The 22,468-nt window shown below is 36.9% G+C and overlaps 1 pseudogene across 1 annotated transcript in view, besides 4 other annotated features; it reads left to right on the plus strand.

Annotated features, from left to right (window-relative positions):
* EGFEM1P (EGF like and EMI domain containing 1, pseudogene) overlaps positions 1 to 22,468 on the plus strand; it is a 581,078-nt pseudogene that overhangs the window by 23,850 nt on the left and 534,760 nt on the right. The gene's annotated exons all lie outside the window — the stretch shown is intronic.
* Positions 772 to 901: an enhancer, noted in NCBI's record as "active region_20778". NCBI's record gives its function as "activates an Ori minimal core promoter by ATAC-STARR-seq in GM12878 lymphoblastoid cells {active_cell/tissue: GM12878}" and the evidence as "EXISTENCE:reporter gene assay evidence [ECO:0000049][PMID:35858748]".
* Positions 942 to 1,071: an enhancer, noted in NCBI's record as "active region_20779". NCBI's record gives its function as "activates an Ori minimal core promoter by ATAC-STARR-seq in GM12878 lymphoblastoid cells {active_cell/tissue: GM12878}" and the evidence as "EXISTENCE:reporter gene assay evidence [ECO:0000049][PMID:35858748]".
* Positions 2,236 to 2,737: an enhancer, noted in NCBI's record as "NANOG hESC enhancer chr3:167993395-167993896 (GRCh37/hg19 assembly coordinates)". NCBI's record gives its function as "activates a minimal SCP1, AML or CMV promoter by ChIP-STARR-seq in primed H9 embryonic stem cells {active_cell/tissue: H9 hESC(primed)}" and the evidence as "EXISTENCE:reporter gene assay evidence [ECO:0000049][PMID:30033119]".
* Positions 2,350 to 2,644: a silencer, noted in NCBI's record as "tiled region #1003; K562 Repressive non-DNase unmatched - State 24:Quies". NCBI's record gives its function as "represses a minimal TATA promoter and a strong SV40 promoter by Sharpr-MPRA in K562 cells {active_cell/tissue: K562}" and the evidence as "EXISTENCE:reporter gene assay evidence [ECO:0000049][PMID:27701403]".

The following is a 22,468-nucleotide window of genomic DNA, read 5'->3' on the forward strand; positions in this document are numbered from 1 at the left end:
AACGATTACGGTAAATTTGGCCAAATAAATAAAGAAACAGTGAAGAATACAGAATAAGTGTTGTCAAAGGGTTAGAGGAGGACAACTATGAGGAGCGTCATAAAAGCCAAGTCAGAATTTGGAAAGTGAGCTGTATTGAATGTTGAAGGAAGGGAAAGACAAGCAAGAGATAAAATGTATCTTTTCTTTTTTTGTTAGGAGAGTTTGCTGGTCACCTTGGTAGGATGGGTCCAGGGTCCGGATACAGTGGTCTGATAATTGGTGGTTATAAAGTATGAGTGAATCTGAGGTATTTTATGTAAGTGAGGAAAGAACCAGCACAGGGAAGGGAACCAGGCAATGAATTGAAAGAACCCTTCATGTATGCATCAAATATCCTCAGTATATCCTGTCTGACAGTGGACCATGAACTGAATAAACTCTCCAGGAACTATACTCTGAGACTGTATACAGAGAAAGGTGGCCATTACTCTTCCATCCTTTTGTTCTGGCTGACCTTGAAAAGAAGGTAGGAGAGGAACCCTACTTCTTTGTGCCTGAGATCCTCTGAGAAGTGTATTGGTCTGTGTTAAATTTGGTAGGATCCCTGGGTGAGAGACAGCACATGATGTTGACATGAAGTATCTGAAGTCATCTCAGTCCACTTCTCAGTCCACATCTCAGTCCACAGCAGGTCAAACCACAGTTCAGGGACCCTTCTGAGTAAGGGAAACCCCCTACAGGTAGGCTCTTACTCTGCAGTCATGCTGACTGAGCTATTCTCTGTGCTGCTTCTGGCAACAACTTTCATTTTGGCAACAACTTTCATTTGGATGCTTTCTCTTTCAAAGGCAGAATAGTATATTGGAAGGATTATGAAGCTAGATCACGGAAAATTTGTTTCAGTTTCCTTCATTCATTTTTCAAAAATATGCTTTGAGCACCTACTATGTACGAGACAATATACCACTGGCTGAAGTTGGAATTATAGTGGGGTCAGGACAGGTAGGGCACTTGTCAGAAAGAGCTTGCATGACAGTGAGAGAGATAAGCTATTTTTTAAAAAAGGAACCATTCTCTGAAAGGGAGAATACAGGTCTACAACTTTGTCCAGTGAGGTCAGAGCATCTTCTTGGGGGCAAAAGTGATGGCAAAGCTGGGAACTGGAAGGTAGGTTGAGATTGGCCATGTGCAGGGGACAGGGGAGAAGAGTTCTCTAAGGAGAGGAAACAGCATGGGTGAAGGCTTTGGGGTTATGAAAGAACCTGGTACTTTCTAGGACCTAAAAGAAGTTTGAATGGGCTGGAATATCGGGGTGCTGTCCTTTTGGCTGGCTAAATGATACTGGGCATCAATGAATTTGATATTCTGTCTCATTCTCCTTAAGGCCAGAAGTGGGCAGAAGGATTCCCTTGTTGTAGGCTGTTGTTCTTAGAATGCAGAGATAGAAGAAAGATACGAAAGAAATCACTCTGAGGACCATAAGTAGGGTGGATTGGGGCTCAGGGAAGGCAAGAGAGAAACTAGAATCAAGGAGATATGTTGAAATGCTACCAGTTGATGAGATTGCAGTGCTGGAAATGGGAACAGAGAAAGGAGTTGGCTGGAAGAAGAAACAAGTTTGGTAAAGAACAGGAGGTGCTGGCATGCACAATTACTGGTAATTCCTGGAAGGTAGTTCATTTGAGAGGGACCACCATGAAATGATGAAGATTAACAATTTTTAAAGAGAAATTTTAGAGAGCATAGAGCAGCAGACAGGAGCTGGAAAGCCAATGAAGAGAGTTAAAAATGGAACTGTACTAGAAAGAAGAATTTCATGAATTTGTGTCAAGGAATTTTAGAAGACAGCATTTCAAAAAAATAGATTTAACTCTAACTTAGATTTAACTCTAAGTTTCTCTTTGATAAATGCTTTAAAAAATCTAGTTAATTAGGCAAATTATAGACTTAACAGTTAAAAACTCAGAAGTCTCAGTCTGTGACTGGTCAAAGCATACCTGTTAAGTTGTGGATGCTGCTTTTTCAGCAGTTTTAGAGCTGATGTAGTCTGTTTCATTTTTGTTGCTAGTTTATGAATATTACAGTTTTTTAGAGTTTCTAATATTCTTTTTGGAGTCATACAGAAGGGAACAGAGAAAGGAGTTGGCTGGAAGAAAGAACAAGTTTAGTAAAGAACAGGAGGGGCTGGCATGCACAATTACTGGTAATTCCTGGAAGGTAGTTCATTTGAGAACGTTCTTAATAGAGTTCTTCCTGAGGAAAATCAGGGGAGACTTGATTCTTATGTGAAGGTTTTTTTTTTTTTTTTTTTTTCAACTATGTGAAGTGAAAGTATGGAAATTTAACTCTATTGATGTGTGTTTGAATTCTGAAAGAGATGAAGGGGTGCTGTGAAAATGCACTGCACTGTGTTAGGAAATGGGATTGCCCCAAAGAGCATGGCCAATGCCTGGGACAATTGCATTCTTGACTCACCCTCGTGAAGAGCTAAGGCCCAGCTGGGCAATCACAGGCGCTGGGTGGAGGCTTCCCCGGTGGCACCCCTCTGTGCTCTGCACTCTTCTTAGAATTTAACATTTCCTTAGCAACTGGATAGGGTGCATAGGTTAGCATTAATACTGTGAAAGAGAAGAAACTTGGGGCCTTTAAAAGAATGCCATCTTGGGTTACTATGCTTTCATTTTGGTTTTATTTTTCTCAGTGGTCAAAAACTATTGTTTCCAGCCAGAATATCCTTTTTATGTCCTTCAAAACACTAATTTTTGGTTGCTATGGGAACTGGCTTATCAAATTTTAAAAATTTGTGTATTTCAGATCCCTGGAAAACGTGTGTGTGTGTGTGTGTGTGTGTGTGTGTGTGTGTGTGTGTGTGTATGTAAAGAAAGAATCAGATATTATTAAAATGAAACATATACCTTTGTTAGGTGAATTGTGGAGTGTGTGAGGTAACACTTCATTCCAAACCCATGAGCTCTACCTTAAAAAGGTATCCAGACTTTGACACTACTTGGCAGCTTTACTGTAGTAACCTTGTTCCAAGCCATCTTTATTTCCTACCTGGGGTTATTGGACGGTTCCTTAACTGGCCCCCCTGGTTTCTCTTGTACCGTTTCCCTACCCTGGCTCTGAAGCGATTCTGTTAAAGTGTAAGTCAGATTACGTCAGCCTCTTTTCAAAACCCCCTATCAGCTGCCACTTCACTCAGAGTAAAAACCAGTGTCTTCACCATGGCCTGCAGGCCCTATTTGGTCAAGTCCCCATCCTATCCCCAACTGATCTCTCTGAACTCCTCTCTGACCACTCTCTGGCAGGTTCAGCCTACTGAAGTCACACTCAGCTCCTCGCAAGGAATTCTCCTGCTTCAGGACTCTGGAGTTTCCTTTTCCTTCCTCCCTAATTAGAATGCTTTTCCTCTAGACAGATATATGGCCCACTCTCTTACCTTGTTCAGGTCTATACTCAATTGTCACTTTATCAGTAAAGCTTTTAATTCTCCAAGATCTTGGCCCTCCCTTTCCTCTTCTCTAGTCAGTTTTTCTACAACACTTAACAGTGATCTCACTAGTGTATATTTTGCTGATTTATTTATTTATTGTCCATTTCCTGCATTTGGATGTAAGCTTCATGAAGGCAGGACGTTTTGTCCATTTTGTTCACTGATGCATCTGCAGCATTTAGTACCTAGCATGTTGTAGTTGCTAATAAATACATATGGAATAAATGAATGAATTTAATATTGCTATATTGCTTTGCATATTCTCCCTGAAATGATCTATTTCTTTTGGAAATGGCTGTTCTGCACCTATTTAAGTGTCGATGACATATTAATCATGGAATAGCAGGCATCACCCCAGGTGCTAGACTGTGAAGATGAATAAGAAGCATGCCCTGTCTTGCAGAGAGCTTACATTTGAGGAAGGAATCAGGCAGTTAAGTGCATGGAGGTAAGTGCTGTTGGAGAGGAAAACTCAGGTAGCTTTGGGGGAAAGGGACACACATTTAACCAGCTTCTGTGATATACCAGGCACCTCACAATTACTACTCCATTTTTGTGATATGAAAACTCAGCTTCAGTGAGGTAACATGAATTGTCCAAGGTCATATGACCTGCAGGTTAGGAAGTTAAGACCGACTGGGTCTAGTTCTAAAGCCCACATATGGCAGATACCACTTTGCCTCCTTATGGGGTAAGGGTGGTGTGTTTAACTGTGTACAAACATCTATTTACTTCTTTTCTGGTAGTCCTAGATGCAAGTGACTATGTATATTTTAAGGAGACTTAAGCTTAAAGGCTCTTGACCTTAATGAGGGAAAAGATTGTATAAATTCATATAATTATTGCTAATTATTAAATGTTCTGAAAGTGTGGCAAGGCCATTGTGAATGGGGATATTAGGGACTCATTCTTCAAGGGCCCTTTTCTTTGTGAAGGTTTCTGTGACCCCCTAGGAAAAATTTAAATGCTTTCTTTTCTGTGCACCCATAGTACTTGCTTGCATATCCATTCATTATCAGGTTTGTTGATAAATGCATGACAATTTAGATATTACCTTTATCAGATGGGGAAACGCCATGAAGGTGAAGAATTTTTGTCTTGATTATCTCTCTGTGCTCAGTGCCTCTGAAAATGTTTGTTGAGGAAACAAATTCATAGAAAGAATCCACAATTTAAACTACAAATCTATAGAAAGCACCTGCATGAATGAAACTGTGGTCTCCCTTAATTGACAGCTACATCTTTAAAGTTGGGGAACAAAGGAAAACTGTGTGACATTTGCGAACCATTAGTTCAGAGCTGGACTGTAAAGAGATACAGGAAAAAATTGATTTCTAAAGTAGAAATGCTGATGGCATTTGGAGAAAGTCAAAGAAATATAATTTATGATTAGAATCCATATATTGCTTTATGATTTACCAAGTGCATTCATAAACACTATTTAATTATCACAAAACTCAGTGAGGTAGAGAAATACAATCCCATTGTACTGATCAGGAACCATCAGAGAAGTAAGGATAACTTTGAACTTGATCAAGTCACATGGTTATTTATGGAGTCCACATACAAACTTAAGATCTTCTGATTCCAAATCCTGGACATTTTCCACTAGGCCATGTTCCTTCCGGAATACTGGACTTTTGTATCATTATGAGTATATAGGTCTCTGACTTATGTTTTCCATTCATGATATCTACAAAAATGAATTGTATATTTTTTGTTTTATATCGGTTTTCTCTATTGTAAAGTACTTTGGTTTATTATTTAATTGGGCCCTAAAATACATGCTTAACTACATTTTATATATTATTCATCTTTCATCTATAAAATGGGATTATATTCCACCTGCCGAGTATCTTGATGTGCTTCATAAAATGCAAAATCCAGATGGGAACAACAATTTTATAAATCTTGAACATTGTTTTATGTTTGTCTTTTGAGTTCTATCTTTCATATCACGACCTTTCAAAAGTTTGTGGTTAAACCCAGAGTAATACACTCCCAATGCTATTTACTCAAGAAGTTATTAGTATGAGATTTATATATGACAGAAGGTAGATGTAATCTTTGTAGGTGAATGCTAGTAATATAAAGTAGCAGATATTAATATGAAAAGCGACAGCTTCTTTAAAAAATATCAAGTGAACTTTTGACTTAAAAAGTTAGTATGGCAGGCCTACAGGGACAGTACAAAGTATATAGGAAGTCACGTTTCGCATTTGCATACTGAAAGCATCGAAGTCTGATTTCCCTCCAGCATTACCAATTTCATTGATTATAGCTCTTACTTGTCTATGCACTTCAACCAAGTTTTTAGACAATTCAAAGTGGTTAGATGATCGGTCTGTGTATATTTGCTGATTGATTGCATTCATCATATACCGCAATGGAAAAGTTGTCATAAAAGTCTCGATTAAATAATATACAAGCTGCTATGTATAAACATCTCATAGTTGAATTTCGGCTGAATACACTGGGCTGCAATTTTTCACTTTATATTGATTGAACAGCCAAGTGATTGCAGATAGGGGCTGAAAATAGTTCTGTAGAGAAATTCCATCCTTATAGTGTATGTGCAAGTATGTTTATCTGTGAAGCAAGGTGAGAGTGCTGGGAAGGTTCATAAAGTAACTATTGATCTAGAATCTGGAATTCACTCAGGATAATTTTTGAAGAGCATAGGAGCCTCTGTAAAGATTAAAAAATGACATAAACTAAAACATTGTTATAGATCATGGTAAATAGTAACCCTGGCTTCATCAGACAACCTTGATTAGGAAGAGCAGAATTAGATATTGGGTTTTTTTTCTTCTTATGTTTAAAAGAGAAGAGCAGCATTCATGCCCCTTTTTGAGTCAGCACTCATTTTTTGGGGAAGCTCTTCTCATCTAAAGGAATAATCCAAAATATGGGGAAAACTAATTGCATGAATATGTAAGACAAGGTACATCCATTTGATAGAATTTTTGTAGGCACTGAAAGTTGTCCAAGTTGTCCTTGTGAAGTCTTAGCAATATGGAAACTATGTTGATATGATAATAGGAAAAATTATTTTATGCAGATAAAATTGTAGAAAACTTACTATTATTTCTATTATAAATATGTATATTAAAATAAATTTATAGATAAATAGTAATCATTTGATTACTTTTATTATAAACATTTTATATGGGAAAACCAAAGTTCAGCACTGTTAAGTAATTTTTTAAGGCCATACAGCTAATCAGTGATAGAGGCTGGACTTGATCTCATGGTTGTCTGCCTCCTAAGACTATGCCTTTTATATTATATTAAACTTGTAATATTGCTTCTGAATTTTAAATATAAATATATTTTATAAGAAAAACTAAGGAGAAATCTAGAATTTTACCATAAAATGTGTTTTTGGGACTTAATTTGTTCACCTTTAATTTTCTTTTGGTCTTTTATTTTTTCCTACTCTTCTTCATTGATTCTTCCCTTTCCTTTTCTATTCTTTTCTTCTTCCCCACATTTTCAATTTTCAACCAGGAATAATCATACTTCTAGTTAGATTGTGTTTTGGTGAATAATCAAATCACTGCCTCCCGCAACCTCACCTGCTGTTCCTGCCTGGTCTTCTTCCCCCATCCTTGACCATTCCTTTTTGGATGCCTCTCACCTCTCTTAGGTTATTCCTTTTTGATTGAGACTACTGAAAAAAAACAAAACAAGACAAACAAGGTAATCTTCAGACTTTCTTTTGGGGATGTCCTTCACTAAATCTCATATATTTTAAATCTGAGCAATTGGAAATTTCTACTCCTACTCTTTTGCTTTCATTTTGAGGTAATGACTGTGTGGAGCAAATGTTGACTCTTTCTGGAGGATTAATACTAATTTGGCTCTTTAAAAATTTTAAGCAGAAAGACGATTTCCCCTGTCCTCCCAGGAATAGTGGGTAGAGGTAGAAGATGCTGATGTTTTTCTCCTGTTTTTAATTAACATGTTTGTTTTTAGGGTGTCTTTTCTTCTCTGACATTTTTCCCTCTGGACTTAGCAAGTTTTTGAATCACTGTTTCTCCTGCCAGAGAGAACATCCTTTGAGAGAGGTCCCAGAGATGTTAAGAGACCCTGGAGATCTCAAGAGATGTTAATTAGTAGAAGTAAATAAATAGCTTGTTTATTTTTATGCGCATTTTAATGCTGTCCTTTACTTTTTTAAATTAAGAAGTAGAAAATGTGCTTGTGCTTAAATGTAGTGTAAAGTTTCCCATATTCCTTTGGGTGCTGGTGTATTTTCCCCAGTTGCAGAAAATATGTTCAGAAGAATTTTACCTGTTGAGACTATTCCTTCTCCATTTTATTGCTTTTTATTGTTACTGTAGCCCCCTGCACAAAAATGGCATATGAATAGTAATAATATTTTATAATCTGCTACAGTAACCATATTTGCTTATTTGCAACAATTACATAGGACTGGAATTAAAGATATAGAGACCTGAGAATTGCCCATCATTTGCAAAAAACTCTTTTCATGCAAAAGTGAAAAATTTACAGTGACAGAGCAAGAAGGAACCTTTAGAATGTCTTCCCCATTCTTATCTTAAGGCAGCCTCACACTTAAGACAGCTCGAGAAAATGACATGCTGCCCTATTTGGGAAGCCATTAAAATTATTTTCAGAACTTTGGCCAGTATCATCTTTTCAAAATATAGTTAAATCCTGCTAGAGGAGCTGTTTTATTAATATTTTACTTAAGCCCTTAGAGTAGAATTCAAGCTTAGTATTTCATATCCTAATCAAGAGAAGTAATATACAACAGCAGTGAAGAGTATGAACCCTGCAAATAGACTCCCTGGGTTCACGTTGTGACTTTGCCACTTAATGCTGTGTGACCTTGATAAGATATTTAACTTCACTTCACCATACTATTCTCATCTTTAAAACTGGATAACACTGGTTGTGAAAATTTAGTGATATGTTGCATGTAAGATACTTAGAATCGTAACTGGCACACAGTAAGCCTAAATGATTGTTTTTAGATTAGATTTATGGTTAAAGAGAAAGACAATCTACAGATTGGAAAGGTTAGAACAATAAGTGAGAGGGGATTGAATCTCAAAATGTCAGAAGCTAGTAAGAAAGCCCCAGTTGGAGGTTTCCAATCCTAGACTAATTACTAATTTCACGTAACTGAGATAACGTGCATATTTTGTGATAGAACCATTTTTGGTTATCTTCATGGGAGCTTGATATTTTCAAAAGCTGTCCAACAACACCTAATAATATTGTTGTGGACATGATGGAACAATATTACCTTGATCATAATATTATTAGCTAGATTTACAGATTTGGACTCATATAATTATAGTGCTAGTTAATAGATCATGAACAGTATTCTGTTAGAAAATTCAAGGCATTTACAATGAGAATACCTATAATGAAAAGATAAATTGTAAATATAAATATAAAAGTGGCATTGTGGAGAAGCAGAACCCAAGTATGTCATCCAAAGGTTTAACGTATATATTACCATTGAACTTCAAATTTGGTTCTGAGGATTTTTGCAACCAAGATGACAAAGAAGATATGATCAGTTACATTACTATTATTATCTAAGAGAAGAAAGTAAATCAGTTCCTCAGGAGGAATTTTTCCTAGTACGGATTTGTAATGGAGATTAATCACATAGGTTCATAAATGATCAGCACCGATTTAATAGCAATTTCTTTAATAAATATTTTAAAGCAAATGCTCTTTTATAATGAAACTTTGGGAAAGAAGTATAAAGGTTATGAAGTGTCAGTTCAGCAAAGAGAAATGGTAGGCTAATGTCATCTGTGTATGTGAACTTCATGTGCTCTGAGTTGATCCAAAGTATAGTTGAGAGAACCTAAACTATTGGAAGTACACTCTGTTCTTCAGTAATGTTATTTCACGTTGCTTCTCTCAGCCAGAGTTTGAGGGGAGCTGGGTAATAGGGTCTAGTTAGAAAGGCGTAGAGGCAGGAATAGGACTATTTTAAGGTTGTAAGTTTTAGCAGGAACAGTAGGCTTTAGAAATCAGCTAGGAAACTAGTAAAGTTGACCTCCTCCATAAAGTGTTTCTATATCATGTTTCTTGAGGCTCTGAGTTTGTTAGGGGTGCTTGGCTGGATGGGTAGTTTGGCGTTAAGGTATTTGAGGGGCAAAATTAAGCAGCTCAGTTTTACTTACTTTTATATGTTGAGTTTCTGCAAAAGTCTTTATGTGACAAACAGTAAAAAAAGTTATTTTGCTTAAAAATACGGGAAAACTGTTTCTGATAACCCTGATTCTTCCAGTGTAAAAAATGCAAGTTTTATATACGTCAATAATTAAATGTTCATATTTTTATCATGCATCTTAGGTCGTATCTGGTTCCTGTATTAGGGTTAAAGACAATTTGAGGTGGATAAAAAGCCGTCTTTAATCTGTCCTGAAATGGCCAAATATATATAAATTGAGATAAGGCCTTTCTGTCAAGCCCTCTTCTGTAATTAAAGTAGAGCTTTAGTAAATCTTTGGATCAAAGAAGACTGGTCATAGATTTGAGAATTTTTTTTTTTTACCTTTCTTCAGACTTTTATGTCTATAATCCTACAAATTCATTTAGGTAGGGTCACCATTAACTTGTTATGTAAATCAGGACACTTTTGAGCATGGAAGTGGTTCATAACAGGACAATAAGCACTAACGGAGAGCAGTTTCCTGGGCGTACTTCCTGCAGGGTCTCCCAAAGTCTGCATGTAAACAGGTACAGGAGTCTCAGTGTCAAGGGTTAGGGAGATGGGATAATAGTTGATTAAAATTAATAAAATAAAACACATTCATATTGACCAATTAGAATATAAATTATAAATAAGGAAATGTAAATCACTTATAAACCTACTTTTTAGTGATTACAATTGTTAATATTTGGTTGAGCGAATATCCACCTAGAATTTTTATGAGTAATAGAAAACACATATTTTCTTTTTCCTTCTTTAAAAAAAAACTTGTGATATTTAACTACTTTTTTATATTTATTGCTTTTATGTAACTTTTAATCATTGTCATTTTTCAATGTCAGATATTATTTGAAAATATGCTCTTTAAGGGTTGCAAAGTATTTTATCTTAGAGTTGTACTATAATTTATTGATGCATTCCTATCATTGGTATTTTGAGTTGTTTCTATTTTTTTACTATTATAAAATACAATGAACATTTTTACATCTCCGTTTTTGAGTGGAAGTTTTATAATTTCTTGAGGATGAATTACTGGAAGTGGAATTACAGAGTCAAATTTTTATGGTTTGTGTATGTATCTACATCTGTATTCAAATTGTCCTTCTGCAAACATATACCAATACAAAATACCACCAGCAATGTGTTAGGTTGTTTCAAGTGGTTAATATTTTTCTTATTAACATCTATAATAGCTGTACCTAAAATGGAAAAAAGAAATCCTATGTGTATATGTACAGTTTCCTCTAGACCTGTCTCACAAATTGCTATATGGCAAGTAAGTAGAAAATAATTACTTCACTGAGATATCCTTTGCCTTATCACCTTTGGAGAAATCATGATATCTTTTATTTTTATCTGTTAGTGGTTTTTTTTCTGTTGTTTTTTGAGATAGAGTGTCACCCTGTCACCCAGGCTGGAGTGCAGTAGTACGATCTTGGCTCACTACAACCTCCTCCTCCTGGGTTCAAGCAATTCTCCCTGCCTCAGTCTCCTGAGTAGCTGGTAACAAGCACCTGCTACCACGCCCAGCTAATATTTGTATTTTTTAGTACAGACGGGGTTTCGCCATGTTGACCAGGCTGGTCTTGAACTCCTGACCTCAGGTCATCCGCCCGCCTCGGCCTCCCAAAGTGCTGGGATTACAGTTGTGAGCCACTGCTCCTGGCCTTAATATTTTTTATGAAATGATGAACAGTATGTCTGGGGTTGGTTATGAAAATATAAAAGTATACTCAAGTTTTTTACATATTTGAGTGATTTGAAAAGCTAAAGGAAATTAGGCATCTAAATAAGTGTTCAGTTGGTACCTTTGAAAGTGCCAATTCGGCAGCGGATGTGAGATGGTGTATTAAGTGGAGTATGTGAGGCGGGGCTTTCCACTTGGATGGACATTCAAATGAGGTGAGTGGGCAGTTTGATGTTTGAGAGCAACGTTAAGCTAGGGAGTCATTCCTTTGCTTACTTGCAGAAGATAAAGCAGGTATTTTTCAGGAGCTTAAGTCTATCAAACTGGTGGTGTTCTTTATTGAGAAGGTGAATTGATGATAGGAGTTCATCCTCAGAGGGCGGCTATGATCAAGATGCAGCAAGTGAATAAAACATGTATACTACTTCATTTTAATGGAGCTCAGGAGCTATAAGCAGGTCTTAAGCTCTGCCCATTAGGACTTTTATTTGTTTTTCTGCTTTGTTAATTTATAGCAGTTATCAACAAAGTTTCTTCTCACTCTATTCTAAATAATCTATTGAGAAAAATGCCAGTCCTAAATAAATTTTTCTTGTTCCCCAAATGAAGGGAAGAGAGCTGAATAGTCCACTGGTCTAAAAGGAACGTTTTGTAGCCATGCCGTGTTCAAGTCACAAGTTACATAAGGCAAGGAGGCATCTAGGCCTGGTTATAGATCTTCTATAATATTTCTCATGGACTTCTCTGAGTTCCTCCTCTGACCTTCTGTCTGTCTTATGTGCATGTTTCATGAGGCCTATACAGTATCTAGGGTTGTCTGGGCAGAATCTATAGACTAAGGTAAGTGAACTCTGTATTACGGCTTGTTTGGTTTATAATGTGAGACCACAGCACTAATTGGACACTTCATGTGTGCTGTTAATACATGTAAGTCCTCTAAGCTAATAAGCTTTTTTGGATTTCCCTGTTGAAGGGGATTTCACCTATCTTAAAGGGAGTAGACCACACTACCATGTTGTGTGGGAGGTTAGATTAGCAACCTCAAGTTACCAAACTTAAAGTTGAATATTTCAGTCCTGCCTAAACTTTTAAGACAGAAACGATCAGCTTACAAAATTTAATTTTGCAGCCAGGATAAAATAAATAGGATGGCATTGGCAGAGACAAATTTTTCTGATGGATAAATCACATGAAAGGCAATATTGTGTAAGAGAAAAAATAGCACCAAAAGAGTTTCTTGGGACTTACCTTAAAGGTTTCCCCCTTCTAATTATACAGAGAAAAATCACTCTGCTCCACAGTCTCCAAGAATAGAAAGGAGGGGAAAATGTACTTAAACTGCAGTGTGAGAAAGTAAGGTTGGATATCAGAAATCATATTTTGGTAGTATTGTTAAACATTGTGAAGAGTTACCTGCAAAAGACCCCGTATCCTTAAAAGAGGGGAGGAGGAGTTGCAAGCACACCTGGCCTCTGAATGCATTACAGGCAAAGTCCTTAGAAAGCTGTTGGCAAAGGTTATGGGGAAAGCAGTAGACAAGCAGTGGCTACAAAGAATTTACTGGACCATGTTAGAAAGCAAGAGGAACAGCAAGTAATTGCTCCTAGGCCTAAACAAAAACAACAACAACAAAATCATCTCAAGGACAATGGAAGAGTGGAAGTGCTAATACACATCAAAATGTGAAAGAATCATGGGAGGAACTGCCTACACAAGCAGAACTCATTGTGAATTAAAAAAAAAGAGGAATTAAAATGTAAGTTTGCTATGTTTGTAGGAAACAGTTAAGTGATTATGAAACTGTTTAGGTTTGGTGGCTGGAAAATAGGTATAAAATGTAAATATTGTGTTTAAAACATTTTGAATTATTATCTAGAAGAGTATTAAAGAGTGATAGACTCTTAACTGACTGAGATATTTATGTGCTTTCAGCTAGAAGGATAAAATCAGTGGTCTCCTAGAATCAATTCTTATGGTATGATTCTCTGAAATTATGGAGATTTGTTGGCGCTGAGTATGTGTTATAAAGTTCAGAGTGCAAATGGGTATAATTAAATAAATGTTCACTAAGCAACTGCTGTGAAAAAGGCATGAAGTACAAAGTTAAACAATATGTGGCGCATTTTTAAAAAGGTGCTTGCAATATCCACAGAGAGATTTTGATGGTAACAGATCTGGTAAGGGCTGCTTGAGAGGTACACAGGCATTTTTATAAGAGAAAAGAACAGGCAGAAATGAGTTTGGACTATGGGAGAACATATAAAGCTTTCCTGTAGAGAAGGCAGTTGGTTTGGGCCTTAAAGGAGATATGAGGTTTTTGACCAATGATGATGGGAGGAGGAAAGGGAACCCTGGGCACGGAAAAGCGTACATGGTAGTACATATAAGCTGGAATACATAATGTGTGTTTGGTGCTTTCTCAAAGTCAACAAAGGCTTCTGAAGAGGAAAGAACACCATTAGAACTTTAGGAGATAAACTTTTGGGAGGAGATAACACAAAAAGACCAGTTAGGAGCTACTGAATTAGCTTAGAGAAGAGGTAATAACTGCTTGTTCTAGGTAAGCCAGTAAGAAAATGAAGTAAGCTGCTAAGGAAACTAAGAAAAGAAGGGAATTATGAGAGATAACTAGTGATGAAAGACCTGGGTGGGTGTAGAGGGAGAATCAGAGGTAACACAAAGACAATAGAATGATTGGTTGAATATTGAGGCCATTGACAAAAACTGGAGAGAAGGAAAAGGATATTGTGAAGCAACTCCTTGGAATCAAAGCTTGCTTCTCTTATGACTGTTTTTCTTTCTGCCTTCACATCCTTCCTTTCATCTCCTCAGTTCAGTCCCTGCTTTGTGCCTGGTTCTGTGCAAGGTAAAGTAATGAAGGTAAATAAAAACACGCAAAAGATATCCCCCGGCCCTTAAAATGCTTACCATCCAGTTTGGGTAATAGAATCTATCCATATGTATGAAATCCTTAGCACATATTTAGACCATAACTATTGTGAGGACTGAAAGGGGAAAAATAAGGGGTTGGGCTGTCCGTCCTGCAGAAGTGAATCTTAGATACAAATATGCAAAACATACTCTAGTTGTATATCAGGTAATAAATGGGGTCAAGCCTATTAATGCTGGTTCCGGTTTGATATGAACAGATTTGTCTTTTGGGTTTTCTTGAAGATCTTAGCATGTCTCCATGTGTTGTCACCCTTGTATTCGGAGATCAGACGAATATTAAATAAGTTTATGACAAGCTATTCCTCCTTTCTTGTTATTTATTGAGATTCCTTACCCCTAGGAATTACTTTGCAGATGCTTCTTTCTTTTTGAAAGCTTTCTTGTATTTCATAATTATTTGTTGAACAAGTAAATATGGTGACTTTTTAAATTAACTTAACCCCAACTTGGGGTCCGATTTCTCATGGTAATGTCTTGGCATAGGATTCAAGCATCTGATTTCACATCTAGGAGTTGTGAACTAGAATACTTAAACGCAGCTCCACCCACCCCCTTTCTTTAAAGACCCAGTGACTTAAGTAGAAGCTGTAAGTCTTTATTTTACCCCTGCACTGTAGCTTTCAGAAATCTTAAAAGAATCCAAAATGGGCTAGTTATTTTGCACTTCCCTCTTAATAGCACCTAGGGATAATTACTGGTATCTTTTGTTGCCATCTGTTTTCTAGTTTATAGATCTATTTTTATTTCATGTTTCTATTCTGTTAAAAATTCTGTTTATAAAAAGTACATATAGTTGGCAATATGAGATTTTTTGGATCTTCTTGTAGTTTATGAGACCAATTACCAGATCATTTGTGAAGACATAGTGATTTGTGAAATTTGAACCTGAAAACCAATAGCAAAGGGAAGAAAAGCAGTTGGAGTATTTGCCAGATGAGGGATGTCGCAGTGCTCTTTACAAAGCCAGTGGTGAGGGCCACGTGAAAGGAAAAGCCTCACTATATCTAGTCTTTCAGTATTTACTCAGGGCAAAGACAGACTTCAGAACAGATATTGTCTTTAGGAGTATCGTAGTGATCACTGAGGGACACTTGAAGACTTTTATTTATTTCTTTCCTATTTCTACTCTTTTGGGGCTCTGTTCTCTAATTAAAATTGGTGTTTTGGAAAAAGGGAATGTGACTTCTGAATACAGTAATAAATTATATCCTTGCCTCAGATGGAATTAAAATGACTGCAGACGTGAAATTTCCCTGCTTCTGAAAACTTAATTTGATATTTTCTCTTACACACCAAGCAGTGATTTGCAGAGGCACAGACTGTAAGATTAATTGAGGCAGCCATCTCTTCTGGCGCATCTAATCTTACATCTAATTATCTGATCATCTGAATCACAAATACAGTAGTTAAAGGGTGTCTGTTTAAAGGGCACACTTAAAATGTAAATATTAAAAAGGAGCTCTCTGGTTTTCCAGAGACAGACATGCAGACTTGTAATGGCCATTATGTTATTCATGGCATTAGGTCAGCAGGCCACATAGAACTGTGGTTACATTGCTCTATCACTAAAATGTGAAGATAATTCTGAAGTCTGTATTAGGCTTGTTTTGACAATTAACCTCCATTAGTATTCCAGAACACATAAGAGCAAAACTCTTAAAAGGCTTTCTTTTCAAGAATGCACTGTCAAATTGACTTCATCATTTAAATAGGACTGTAGTCACAGTAAATGATGAGTTGATATTCATACAAAGCGTAACCTTAATTACAATATTATGAGCAATTAAACCCAGTGTTCACGGAATTATTGTACATTTATGTGTAACAGAATAAAAACATTGCATAGGACTGTTAAGCTTTTTGTATGAATCTAATTAACTTTGACAGGCTTTGAGCTTTTCTCCTTCTTTCAGAAGTGCTGTAGATAAATGTACTTGCATCTGGAAAACTTCAAACAGTTTTGATCAGCATTTCAGATCTGATTTAAAATGAATGCATTGAAACGCTGTCTTAAATACAGAGTTGATAGATGTGTGGTGCACAGTTTCTTGTAGCAGGAAGGCAGATGTGGTAGGGAGAACAGCTGTAGACTACAGCAGCCAGTGGATATTGTTTTTCGTCACAATCTAATGTCAGGCAGCTACTGCTGTGAACAGGTCTTTATATATTTGGCTCTGGTTAATGCTGCGGATGTGAAAAGCTGAACTCACACTGATTCCTTGGAAGGCAATTAGGAGGGAGATATGTCTTCTTATGCTTCCATTTCTGTAGCCCTTAGGGAACAGAGCACCATGAGCAAACCAAGGTTCCCAAGGAGTCCCAGTGACTTTTTAAGTTTCATAAGTGAGGAATAGAGTCCTCCTTCAAACAGTGAATTATGACATTGAGGATTTTGGAGTTACTCTTCTTGATTCCCTAAAATCCAACTATTGATTAGGCTTGAGAGGAAGCTAGGAATTTCATCATCTAATTTGCATGGCTCGATGGTAACGACAACCACCACCACTATCACAATAATGGTTATATTTTACTCAGCACCAACAATTTTGGTGATTGGCATACATTATTTTATTTAATCTTTACCCCAACTCTATGAAGTAGACACCATCTTCAATTTATTGATGAAGAAACTGAGACTTGGAGCATTTATTGTCATTTTTGAAGTCACGTAACTAGAAAGTGTTAGTGCTATTAAAACATAAGATAGAAATTGAGTATTAATGAGATAAAAATTCATTTTAAAAATATAATAAAACAATATATATAATATGGGCCTATTTATGTAACAAACACAAGAGTATGGTAATACATATATAAATATATTTGCACTGATATAAATGCAGATAAAGAGAAGCAGAGTTGAGTACACTAGATGGCTGACAGTGGTTATTTTGAGATGGTTGAGCAGAAGGAAGGACAAAGTAGAAAGATTTTTCAAGTTTTGTTCAATAACTTCTTACGTTGTTTAAATCTTTAATTCATGTGTTGTTTCAGTAATTACAATTTTAAAGATCACAAAAGTACTTTTGCTGCTAAAGTAAACATCTGAAAATAAATCTTCATCATAGAAAGTGGTGGTAGGTTTGATTTCAACTAGGACTCTCTGACTATAACATCTGTGCTTTTTCCATGAAGTTATGTGTCCTTTAAAAGTGTGTATTAATGTTTAAAAATCTGATGTAAAAAGGTAGTGAATTTCCTAGCCTTCTCGTTGTCCTTAGAAAACCTTGCTTATACTGGCTGGGTGCAGTGGCTCCCAGCATTTTGGGAGGCCGAGGTGGGTGGATCATTTGAGGTCAGGAGTTCGAGACAAGCCTGACCAACATGGAGAAACCCCGTCTCTACTAAAAATACAAAATTAGCTGGGCATTGTGGCCCATGCCTGTAATCCCAGCTACTTGGGAGGCTGAAGCAGGAGAATCGCTTGAACCCGGGAGGCAGAGGTTGCAGTGAGCCGAGATCGAGCCATTGCACTCCAGCCTAGGCAACAAGAGCAAAACTCCATCTCAAAAAAAAAAAAAAAAAAAGAAAAAGAAAAAAAAGAAAACCTTGCTTATACTTAGATCACTTGGGGATACATCAGAATTCCATTCTTAATTTAAAATAACCAATATATTTCAAATACCTATGATGTACCAGTTGCACTGTGAAGCCCTGAGGAGGTTGCAGAGATGGAAAGGACACTGGCTCTCCCCCTAAGGTGTTATCAGCATCGTGAACAGACAGACTGGTGCCCACAGAGCTGACACACAACGTGGCAACAGTGGAAGAAACAACATGCCATGTAGCTTTACAGAGGATACAAGTATTTCTAAGGTTAGGGTTCACATAACAATTTATTCAGTACCTATGTGGATGTTTAGGAGCCGGACATAATGGAAGATACTAAGATGTGGCTTCTGTCCTCAAAGACCTTGTATTGGTACAGAAAAGGGAGCATTATAACACAGGAAAATAAGAGAGCAAGAAAAGCCAGGAATAGCATATAATTGATTGCTAAGTGATATAGATTAGGCCCTAAATGAAATGGGAATTCAGAAAAAATTGTGATCACTGTGGGTAAGAATTGTAGATTTCATAAAGAAATAAATTATAGTACCACTATTTTTTTTTGGCTTAAAAGAAGGGTGGCCAGGAATCCTTTTTTTGTACTTTGAAATTGGCCTTTGAGTAGAGTCTCTCATTATCTCTGACAGTTGTTAGAAAAAGGAACAGAATAACAATTAAATCCATCCACAGCTGATGCATTTATTTGATATATATGTATATATATGTTTGTGAATATATATATTTGTGTGTGTGTGTGCGTATGTGTATTGGAAGACTAGGCATGATAGATTATTTTTCTCTCTCTCTCGTTCCCTTCTTCCCTTCCTCTCTTTTTTCCTTCCTTTTATTAATTATTTCTGCTAGTATTACTCAGACATATGACATAGAATCAGGCATGCTTGAAATATGCAAGATTTTCTGTCTAAAAAAATAGAATAGAAGCATAGAGGAGCTAGCTGTTTAGGGAGTTTCCCTTTAAGAGGCATTATACCTGAGTTCTGGACCCTTCTAAATACGTTAAACCATAATCATATATCTAAAGTACCAAACACAGTGCTAGCACATAGTAGATGCTTTGTAAGCATTACTTCTCTTCTCTGCCTTCTTCACAAAACTTTAGTATCCAATCTAAGAGAGAAAAAGCCACATAGGAGGGGGGTGTGCAAAAATAAAAAAGACTGAGGGTTGCATATTTGGAAGAAATTTGATTTTCAACAGCCAATTCTTGAAAATGTCTCAAGATTACAGTGACTGGGTCAGCTATTATGGAGCAACTCTGAACTTGGAGAGAAGACAATATGAGTATACTAAGAAATACATAAGCATCTAGGGCAAATCACATATGCTGTTAAGTATGTGGGATTTTAAAAAATATGTATTTCTATGATATCAGCTTCCTTCCACTTTTTGTTTTTAATAACTTTAAACCAGATAAAAATCTTCACAGCCATTCAGACTCAGACTAACTTAACTGAAGACTAAACTTGAGATTCAGCCCCACCGAATTATGCATTTTTTTAAAATGATAATTTTCCCAATTATGTAAGTATGCAAACTCACCATGGAAAATTTGTAAAATAAATGAAGGAGGTATAAAACAAACAAGCAAAGATTTGAAATCCTGCATGCAGAAGAAAACTTGATAGCATTTGGTTCCAAGTTCTCTTGGTGTTTTTTTTAATGCTTATTTATTTTGTAGGTATTACATATTTGCTTATGACCATATTTTGTCAATTTAAAAGTTGCATATTTTGCAGCGTGACCCAGTTTGCAATCATTGTTCCCTTTTACAATATTGGAGGTGGCCCTGGGGAAAAGGCCTGTCTTTGAACTTGATTGAACACGCTGTCTGGGGCCTCTCTCTTTCTTCATTGTCATCCCCAGAGTGTGGAAGCCTGGAGATTAGCTGGGGAGGGCTTCTGCTCTGTGCCTGGGGGAGAAGATTGTGGGGGCATTTGCTCCTCTGAAAAGAGAACAAGATAGCTGGCTGATACAGAGGATCTTGGATGGCTGACTGGATGGGGTCAGAAATAGGAAACAAATTGAGTTAATCAGCATGTGTCTTGAGATTCACGCTCCAGCACAGCAGCAGGTTAGGATCTGATATGATGTGAAGGTGGTGGACCGCTAGGCCAGGAACAGAGGCAGGGAGAGAGAAAAAATACCAAGAACATCTGTAGATAGAGCATTAAACCTTCAACAGTGTTTCTTTCTTCCTGAAACTTGGTGGGTATTAAAAGGACTGAATGCATTTATTTATGCTTGTCCTTGGTGCCCCCAAGCATCTAGGTATGAAGGGTTAGTAGGGTGGCAGCATGTTTGGAAAGGGAGACAAGATGTTTATCCTAGAACTTCTTTGGTCTGCTTATGTTTATTTGGGGTAGTTTTGGAGAGTCTGGTGGAAATTGTAGGGGGTAGGATTAAAGTCTTCCTTCCCCAGTGACCCCTGATACTTTTACTGATTATTTCTTTGGAGCCTATGAACCACTCTTAGTTCAGTAGAACTCTTGGAGCCCTGTTTCAGTGATGGTTCTTATCATGTGAACTGACTAGGGATGCCATGCAGTGTCCCTAAGCCATGGTGGCCCAGGAAAGCCATGTCCTTCTATGTTGGATAAGTAACCACAATACTCCTTTATTCAGTGTATGTTTATTAAGTACCAAGCATGTATTAGATACTGTGCAGAATACTGTGGATTAAAGACTAATAGAAATGGCCTTTGTCCCCAGGAAACACAATGTATGGAAAGGTAGATTTATAAAGAGATTATTAATATTAAGTCTTGGAGGTGGAAGTAGGGTCATGCTGTTTGTCCAGTCATGGGAATTAAATAATGGGTAGGTTCTAATGAATGATTGTCCAATGATTACATATTATGTTTACCTACTTAATATCATCTTTAATCAAAAGCAGAATTTTGTATGTAACTTCTATTATGCAAAGTTTCTCATGCTAGTATTTCTCATAATATTATTTGTGTGTTGAAATCTGAGCAACATGACTTTTCTTTCTTGCTGTTTTTACAATGAGCTTTCATTGGAATAGTCCTTTTGACATTATTGTTTTTCCTTAATTCAATATTTTATCTCATTTATAATCTAGTAAACCGGGAACTTGACTTAAAAAGTTTCTGATTTTACAAATATTAGCCAGATGCGGTGGGATGCACCTGTAATCCCAGCTAGTTGGGAGGCTGAGGCATGAGAATCGCTTGAACCTGGGAGGCGGAGGTTGCAGTGAGCCAAGATCGCGCCACTACACTCCAGCCTGGGCAACAGAATGAGACTCCGTCTCAAAAAAAAAAAAAAGTTTCTGATTGTATTATTTATCTAATGTTCTTTAGAGGCAGGTTTCAGGAATGTAGCAACAGTCTCTGAGACTCTGAGTTGGGTAGACTCATTGAGTAAAGGTTGTTCAACTTTGGTAGAAGGTGGGTATGGGTATTGGTAGATTTGTCAAGCTCCTCAGATTATCAGATACTTATCAGTTTGAGAATCATTAGGAACATTGAGCTATGATTATAGACTTTCTCTGTGTCAGTTACAATAAATAGGTAATTCACAAATTGCAAATTTAACAACAGTGAGTCTGCCACTGTAGACAAAATTGGGTCTGGCTTTTGTTGATCTTTTTAGAGTGAAATAAAATTCTTATATTTATAGAAATCAGCTAATTCTCTTGATTCCTCTCTCTCCTCTGTTTCTGCTTGCCTTCTTCCCCTTCTCTCTGTTCTGCTTAATGTCGCTTCTCTTTCACCTCTACCCTCTCCCTCTCCCCAACCCCTTTACATGTTGTGATCACACAGGTAAGATGATGTGGTGGTCAGGGGCAGATTTATGATCACAGTGGGAGGATGTGTGTGCTTCTGACCTGGCTTATCTTCAGTAGATCTCTAGGGTGTAGTTCTCAAACTGTAGCATGTATTAGAATCACTTGGAGGGCCAGTTAAACCCAGATTGCTGGATTACATCTCTAGTTTCCGATTCAGTACATGAAGGTGGGGCCCCAAATTTGCATTTCTAACAAGTTCTCAGGTGTTGCTGATGCTGCTAGTCCAGGAACCACACTTTGAGAACCACTGATCTAGGAGATTCCCTTACTATGTAAAAACTATTATTACTTTTTGAAAAAGTAAATTTGGAAAAAAAATATTGGAGGATGAATTCTCATTTGAAATAGAGGAAAATTTTAAAATATGCTCTGTTTTTAAGTGTTTTCTTGGAGGGATACAATAGCTTTCCTAATAACTTATTTGAATAGTTTCTCAATGGATAAAACATCTATTATATAGCCTTTATCTGAAATTTACCTTATCTTTGTCCTACACTTTTTGACCTTGGAAAGGTGATGTCACGTGGTAACTGAAGACAATTATCAGTCTTCTCTATTTCCTTCCACTCCATATCCCCAGTCTAAGAGTATATTACTTTAATACCTCAGTACTGACATTAATTTAATTTTGATAAATGAAAAGATGCTGAATGTTGAGGCCAATTATCTTTGATGAAAGAAGGCTGAACTGTTTTCATCTGTACAAGGAAGATTTTACAGAAGACATCCAAGTTCCTGGAAAGAAGTTTATCTGACCCAGAC

The sequence above is a fragment of the Homo sapiens genome, chromosome 3 (genome assembly GCF_000001405.40).
Source record: "Homo sapiens chromosome 3, GRCh38.p14 Primary Assembly".
Classification (NCBI taxonomy): Eukaryota; Metazoa; Chordata; class Mammalia; order Primates; family Hominidae; genus Homo; species Homo sapiens.